Source organism: Homo sapiens, chromosome Y (assembly GCF_000001405.40).
Source record: "Homo sapiens chromosome Y, GRCh38.p14 Primary Assembly".
NCBI classification, from domain to species: Eukaryota; Metazoa; Chordata; class Mammalia; order Primates; family Hominidae; genus Homo; species Homo sapiens.
Genome location: NC_000024.10, coordinates 9,542,817 through 9,551,254, shown reverse-complemented (window position 1 = coordinate 9,551,254; position 8,438 = coordinate 9,542,817). Strand labels below are relative to the sequence as shown.

Sequence of the window (8,438 nt, the reverse complement as noted above, 5' to 3'; positions counted from 1 at the left end):
TCCTGTGCTATCTATTGGGTATGATGATACCAAAATGAAGGATTTTGGAGGTCCCAGCAAACTGGGCCCTGGAAACCTTAGTGCCTATTGACCCCTTTCCTTGAACTACCTCTGCTTCCATAGGACGAAGTAAGCCTCCAACTAAGCTGTCTTTTGCTTTTACCTCCCCAACTCTGTCCTGTAGGAAGAATCTCAACACATTCCACACCTATTCACTCTACAACTTTAGAGGCCCAGCTCCAACACAGACTGGTTATTTCCATGAAGAGAATAATGCACATGGATTGATCAATTCATTATGACACCCGGATCCAGGGGATAAATATACACACACATACACACACCCAAACAGAGAAACACACACAAACACAGAGTCACATATCCTTGAGAATGTTTATTTTTCATTCCATACAATCCAAGTTTACCCCCTCTTCCTGTCTGATTTTCTGTGACTCGATCTGTTTTTCCTTTAGTTCCTGTGCATAAGACCATGCTGAATACTGACATCCTGCATACTGTAGTAACTTTTTAGGAGTTCTGCTGCTTTCGGTAAAGTGTGATGCTCCATCATACTCAACTCAACATCGGGGAGAGACTCAACTCAACATCTGGGAGTACCCTGGAGAAACACAAACACATGTCAAAATGCATTTTCTCTGAGCCATACTTTGAAATATTTCAATTGTAGGGCCCGCTGAGAAAAGGATATCCCTTCCCCATTTGTGATCCCTTAAACTTCCTCCTACCACGTGTTACAAACTGTTCTGTGCAATCCCTGCCCCATTCCCAGTATTCTCTGTGAGGGGAGTCAGCTAACAAGATGCACTGTACCCTAAAAGCACACAGAAATCTGATGGGGCAATAGCTTAAGGAAATCCATCAATGTAAACAGTCCTTTGTGGTTTGGGGCAAGGAGGACCAGGACGCACATTCAGGGAGCCCAATCTTATGGGGTTGGTAGGATGACTGCCGGTGGGGTTGACAGCCATGGAATCAAGTGCCACAGACTGAAGTGAAGGATTTTTAGCTTTTCTTCTCAGTGATTCTGGAAATGGATGATGCTTCGCTGGGCTTAAGACTTCACAGCTATAACGTGCTTTGCAGTGCAGTCTCTAATGTGCCTTTTTCAGCCCAATGCCATGAATGTCCTGGATTCTGTCACACTCTGTCTTCCTCTCAAGGAATTTCTACATGTATGAAAGGAGGCTCAATTTCTACATTTCTGAAATGAGCCTCCAGGCTCCCTGAATAGGCAGGTGTGTCAACCTCCTTATCCTGGGGATCAAAAAGCTTCAGTTCCAACTGAACAGCTCACCTGAAATCTCTGTTCCCTCTTCAGGTGGCTTCATCCTCTTGTAGGATTGCAGGGGATTGCACCACAGGTCCTTACATAGGATCTGTCAGGGGAATCCATCGGGAAAGGCCTCATCAGGACTCAGAATGGTGACCCAAGCAGCTGGGAACACATGGGGTCATTCCTCATGTTTCCCAGTGAGGACTCACCTCAGCAATCCTGTTAGATCCTGCGAAGTTGTGGTCAGAGAACCAGTTGAAGAATTCAGGCTCCTGTTGTGGTGGTTGCGGCGATAGGCCTCCACTTCATAATCTGGATACCAATCAATTGGAGTGGAATGAGAAGCCCTGTATTCTACAGAGACAGGAATTTTTGCGGGAAGGGGATTGGATCACATTGGCAATGATCCACCCACCATCTTCCTTCCACCACCCATCCTGGGAGCCACCTGTCACCTGTGATGTTCACCAGATATTCCTTGGTAATCACTTTATTCTGGAAGTAAGGGTTACTCTGAAACAACAACATGATCTTGCACAGGTGAACTGGATGCTTCACTTCTTCCACCTGTCAGGGCAAGGTGGAGAAAGCTTAAATACCTTTTCGGGTGAGATGCCTGCTGTTGCTTACAGGAATGAATTATTTCCCTTACCCTCCCCCACTAAACCCTCTAGCCTCAGTCTTCCTGGCCTTACCTCCAGGTGGATCATGTAGCTCAGCATGTCTTCATCTTGGTCAGTGATCAGGGCTGACATCTGGGGGTGGTGTGCAATCTGATTTAGGTCAAAGAGACTTTACACACGATGGAAGGGAAAGCGAGGAGCAACAGGGAAGAAGGCCTAAGAGCACCCAGAGGCTGGGGTAGGGGATTTCTCAGATCTGCTTCCATGTATGACCTCCTTTCGCCTCCCCCTCCCCGTAAACTAAGGCCTCCTGTGTTCACGGAGGGTGTATAATTCTGAGGCTGACTGCACTGACATGGGGAGGCGTGATGTGCGGAGAGTTGCTGGTGTCTGAGGAGTGGCAGAATCTGCTTATAGTCGAAGACGCCCAGTCGCAGATCGGACTAGCAAGTGGCAGCAATCACACTCCCTTAAAAATACCTTGATTCACTGAAAAACGTCTTCTGCTCTGAACTCGCTTCTGCTCTTCAAAAAGATGCCCCAAACGTCTGCTGCTCGGCATCACCAAGGGTTTCTCTGCCGCATGCAGGACAATAGTACCCACGCCTGCTCCGGCTTTCCACAGCCACATTTGTCCGTGGCAACTCCCCTTTGTTCCCCAAAGAGTCACATCGAAGCCGAGCTGCCCATCAGTTACTTACACTTTCCCGAGAGCACCTCTCCACTAGAAAGGCCGAAGAAACACTGAGAAGGATACAACATTGGCCCAGAAGCCAGGGACGCTCTGGATGATGGCGCCTCTGCGGTCTAGGTGGGGCTTGCGCCTCCGCTCCATCTTTTCCCGCTGCCGAGAAAAGGCCTTCCTGGCTTGGGCATTAACCGGCTCCAGCTCCACCTGAACGGCCAGCAGCTCCTCCAGTGCAGACTCTGGGGTCATGGGCCCAGGGCCAGGCTGTGCCCGCTGGGCCTCCACCTGCCCCTCCACGAGGGCCTCCTCCTGGGCCACCACCTCCACCTCCGCCATTATGTCATCTGCCACCAGCACTGCCTCCAACTCCCAAAGCCGCCTGCTCACTCTCCACCCCGGCCGCCCCTCCTGTACAGCCTCCATCCTGAAGGCAGTGCCCTCCTCGGCACCGCACACACCAAGGCCTGTGCTGCTCCACCCACGCCATAGGAACCCTGTCGCAGATGGGCACCCGGTGGGTCAGCGGGCCCTCAGGGCCGCATGCGCCGGGTTTCCAGGAGACCCCTAAGGGACTGCGCGCTAAGGGCCAAGGGGCCGCACCCAGGCCGACTTCCTTCCCTCATGGCCAATCAATGGGAGGGCGGCGGGCGTCTCCCTGGGCTGCACAGCCACGGGCGCGCCTGCATCTCCAGCCCACTCACCCCACGCCTTCCGTCCCCGAGCCTCCTCCGAGAAGCCCTTGGAGCTTGTGCCGGGTAGCTCAGAGTCCAGGCACACGCGGGCTGCGTGGTCTTTGGAATTGTGGGCATGGTAGCCCTGTGCCCTGACATCCTGAGTGTGGCAAGCCATGATCATCTCTATGTGTCATGAACACACAAAACATCTCTCTTCGTTAGGCAGGCCAGGTAGATGGTACGGAAGTAATACTGCGGATCCAGAGAAGTCTGGTTGCTGGGGCTAGGGCGGCAGGGTTGGACTAGGGGAAGTGAGTCGGGGCGGGCACGTGGGAGGAAAGTCGCCTGCCGGTGCTGAGGTGGAATTGATCTGCTGTAGAGGCCAGAGCCCCGGCACACACTCTCACAGGTCGAGGCAAATAGAGGCTCCGAGTACCATGCTTCCTCCCTGAGGATGCTGTACTCCAAGGAGCATTCCAAAGGGCCTCTTGTCCTATGCCCTGGGCACACCAGAGGCCAGCCGCCAGGGTTGGCCATTGTCGGCCTGCGCGCACGCTGTTGTGCGCTGCCTTGACGATCCAGAAGCTCCCGCACCCGCAGCAGCGGCTGCGGTGCCTGCTGGTGGGGCTCTGCAAGCCCAGGGCCTGGGCCTCTGGCTCCCAAGCTCCTGTCCGCATTTGAGCCTGCTGGGGACCGGAGGCCTTTGACCAGTGCCAGATCTGCGGGTCCAGCGGAGCTCCTCAGGAAACCTGGGTCCACGTAGGTGTGGGACTAGGTTCTCAGCAGGGCGACGCCCGTGGGTCTTTCAAGGAGTGGGTCTGTTGGAGCCCGGGCCCCCAGAGCCTAGGGGTGCAGGACATGGGCTGGGCTAGGCTGCGCAGGCCCGGGGGCTGTGGGAGCACCCAGGAGAGCACTGTGTTCAGGCTGGAGGCAATGCTGGAGAGGACGGCCGGTGTACAGAGCAAGGAGGCGGCCTTGGAAGAGGAGGCGGTGCTGAAGGTGGAAGACATCATGGCTGAGGTGGAGGTGGTGGTTGAGGTGGAGCCCGACGTGGGGTGGCAGAAGGAGGGCCAGCGGGCACAGCCTGGCCCTGGACCGAGCACACCCGGGCCGTCAATGGACTCGCTGGAAGTCCTTCACTTGGAGGTGGGCTCCGTGAATGCCCCAGGCCACAGAGCATCTCCGCCTTGTGGGCCAGAGCCATACTTTGCAGCTGCCGATTCGGGATGGCTGGCAGCAAGGGATAGTCATTGGGCTTCAGGGGGGCATTGGGGCTGGTTGCGGGGAGGAGCCAGGTGGGAGGCACGTGGGGTCAGCCAGGAGGCAGGGTATGGGGGACAGGGTGGGAGCCGAAGCCACGTTGCTGCAGCTGTGAGGGCAGCTTCTTGTAGCACCCCTGGGAGCACGTGGTAGGGAAGGGGAGCCAAGCACAGCACTCACAAGGGAGAATCGCGGCGCCAAGTTCCCTTGCCGCACAGCACAAAGTCGAAGGGGACATTTCCCTGGGAACGTACCTGGAGGACGGTGAATTTGTATGCCATTGCCAGCCATTGAACCACCCCTGCTCTCGGTGCCTGTTTCCAGCAGGCTCACCCCAGAAACACAAGGTGCTTAAAACGAGTTCATGGTGCATGGGGTTGCCGACCACCTCAGGGCAGGTACCAGCTCCCCAGATATGCTTTCTTCCCCCTGCGGGCGCTGCACCCAAAGGTGTGTAGGCCTTGAGCCTATATAACTTCCTTTGCACCCACCCAATTCCCATGGAGAGCGCCAGGCACGACCCTGCTGTCGCTTCTAACTACAGGGCTTCCGTCAAGTGGACAGGCCCACCCCTCAGGGAGACTAGGATAAGAGGACACCACACACCCGGACATCAGCGGAGCATGTCCAGCACCCAGCACACAAAGGCCTCCTGCATCTCAGAAACCCAGAGAAGCAGCCGCCTCACACCACCCCCGGCCCCTCCCGTCCCTCAGCTGCAACCACCTGCCCACTTTTTCTGCCTCCCGTCTCTGGTCAGCCCAGGCCGTCTTGGCCAGGGTCCACCCACTCCAAAAACCACCACAGTTGTGGCGTTGCCTCCTCGCCAGACAGAGATAGAGGGCCAACAATGAAGGGTGACTGGCCAAATGTCTGGGAGATGGCCCTGTTCCACATTGTCTGTGTTCTTGCGAAATTGCAAGGCGTCACGAGGCTTGCCCACCCAATCCTCTGGAGAGTTCTTGCGCAGAGGTAGATTGTTTGGCACACGAGATGTCGGCGTGGGTCGGAAAGCATGCGGAAGTCCTGCTTTGCTACGTGATGGATTTGCAGGTCAGGCTGGGGAGCCTGGGTCTGTGGGAGGAGTCCAGTGTCTGAGTCAGTTTGAGGTCCCCCTGGGGACCAGGGTTGTCTCAGTGGGAGAGCTGGGAAGGGGAAACTCATGGTTCACTACAGCTAGTAGGCCACCTCAGCCCAGCTAGTTGAGATGGTCCCATTGAATCCCTCCTCTTTCTCCTTGATCAGGCAGGTGGAGGAACTCAGCCATCCCAGTTACTGGTGGCAGGATGATTTCCTTTCATCCCAACCTTTATTTCCACAGTGAAATCATCATGAAGGAGCACTGTGTTGGCATCCTCGGTAAGGAATGCCTCCCAGCATGGTAGGGAAGCTGGAGTGTGGGAGGGTAGGACTGGCATGAACCTTCCTGACTCCTCTCCCTTAAGGCTACAGGGTGTCTCATTCCACTGCAGTCCAGCGGTTCTGGGATCATGAAGGTCAAGCCTCCAGATGCAGGCAGTACACCTCCTACCTGAGCTTATTCAGCTGTTTGGCTGAACATGACTGCCTTGGTTTTGGTAGGATTGCTGAGGTGGGGTTCGCCGTGGGGCATCATGGGAAAGGACCTAGCTGGTCATTCCTTGGTCTCTGGGGAATTGGCTTTAAACTGTCACCTGAACTGTCCTGGACCCACTTCTGCAGTCCCCTAGATCATCAGCCAGGCCCTATGGCTCAATCTATTGCAGTTCTATCCCATGGAGAGAGGGTCAGCCCTAGAGGCGGAACAGAGAGGAGGCCAGGCGAGCAGCCTAGGGCTTGGAAGGGCTGGGAACTGAGAGGCCTTTTGACCTGGATCTGGGCCCCACATGGAGAACCCAAGGATCCTGGAGGAGACTGCAGTGAGCAATCCCAGGCAATCCGTGGGTTGGGGGAGAGAGGCCCATCAGGGACATGTAACACCCACATTTCAGGATTGGGGCACCTTAAGCCACTATGATGCATATGTGGCTAAAGTCAGTGGGTGACAAGCAGGGCTTAAGGGATAGCTGTCTCATCATCACTCACCAGCTCCCTGCCCTGCAGTAAGACCTGCGACCACCTGGGGCTCATTTTGAGATCAACCAGGGCCCCCTTTTTCTCCACGAGGATGTTCCTCTGAGGCCCACCTAGGTCTATGTCCTTTCACAGTGTTTCTCCCAGGCCAGTCATGTTTTGTTTCCATGATCCCAGCTGCCTTGACATGTGTTATCCTCTCTGCCATCCTCACTCCCACTGCCCTGCCTTCCCATATAAGTTAGTCCACCTCACACGGAATCTGGAGGACCACACTGGGCTCCAGTGTGAGGCAATGTTTTATTTTCTTCAGGTACATGTATTTTAGGACTACCTCCAGGGCTGGGAATGTGAAGAGATTGCCAAATGGCTGGGGACCTTCAGTGTGTGTCCAGGGAGGGAACCTGGCTGGGAATTAAGGCCCACTTGAGTAATGGTATGGACATCCAGTGTCAGTTATCTTGATAAAGACCTGCTTTCTTACATCACCTACTATTAATATAAAAGTTGATTTCTTAGAATATTGAAAAAACAAATTTAAGTATGAAGAAATATAATTTGTTCATAATTGTATGGAAAAAGCTGCCGACTGATCCATTTCCCATTACAATTCTTATGGGAGACTTGAAGTGTTTAGCAAGATTTAGGATGCATTTTTATTCTTCTACTCCTGCCAGTTTTAATGATCATTTTGTATCACAAGGACATGGTCTCTAGAAAGTTTTTGAGGGACTTTCAGCTTCTTTTAGGGTAGATAGTTGTAAATTTTGAATTGTTTTCCCCTGTGGTTCTTTTCAGGTTGCTCTTTCTACTTTATATGGGGGGGTGTTAAATTTGTTTTCTTATTTGCCCCTTGTGGAACTTTCGTTTTCAAGGAATTTTGTGTGTGTGTGTGTTAGATATGGGAGTTAGCCTGTGAGCATGTTTTCGAATACGGATTTTTTTTTATTCATCAGTTTTTGGGGTGTATGTGTGTGTGCGTGTGTGTGTTTTCAGATGGAGTCTCACTGTGTCATCCAGGCTGGAGTGAAGGGGAAAAGTCTCGGCTCACTGCAACCTCTCCCTCCAGCTTCACAGGATTCCCACGCCTTAGCCTTCCAAGGAGCTGGGATTACAGGCACATGCCACTATGTCCTGCTAATTTTTGTATTTTTAGTCGAGACTGGTTTCACCATATTTGCCAGGCTGGTCTGGTACTCCTGTGATCCGCCTGCACTGACCTCCCAAAATGTTGGGCATCCAAGTGTGAGCCGCCATGCCAGCCTCATTTGTTTGTTTATGTATTTTAATCATTGTTTTATTTTCTTCATGTAAACGTATTTTAGAATTATTGAACTAAATATATTTTATTTAGTTACTCCATACTTTAATAGGCTTTTGAAACTAATTATTCATTAACTAAATACAGTATTATGTATAGGTAAAACTTGTATAGTATTGCCATCCTGTCTTTCATAAATTATTCAAGAACTCTGATGCTGTTTTTGCCCCACATGAGGAGAAAATGCAGACAGTTATAAAAAATTCTGTTCCTGGGTAGGTACGAAAATATAATTTGAAAAAATGGTATATTTCACAAATACAGTTTCACATTTGTATTTTGCATCGTTTTGAAAATTGTAGTTGCTGATACATGAAATTATGTATTCACTTTCATGTTAAATGTACACTTTTGAATCAATTTCAACTATGAAAACAATTGAAGGCCAAGCATTAGTTCAGGAAGCTGAACGCAGTTGTGTTGTAAAAAAAAAACATATTTATTGAAAGTGTATTTAGAGAGATTTTAGAAGGCTTCAGTCAATATTTTTGTTTCTGTTGCTCTGGTGTTTTATCATACAGGGACC

General features: G+C 51.9%; 1 pseudogene; it reads right to left on the bottom strand.

Moving 5' to 3' along the window:
- Positions 382–3,193, bottom strand: TSPY15P (testis specific protein Y-linked 15, pseudogene; annotated as a pseudogene).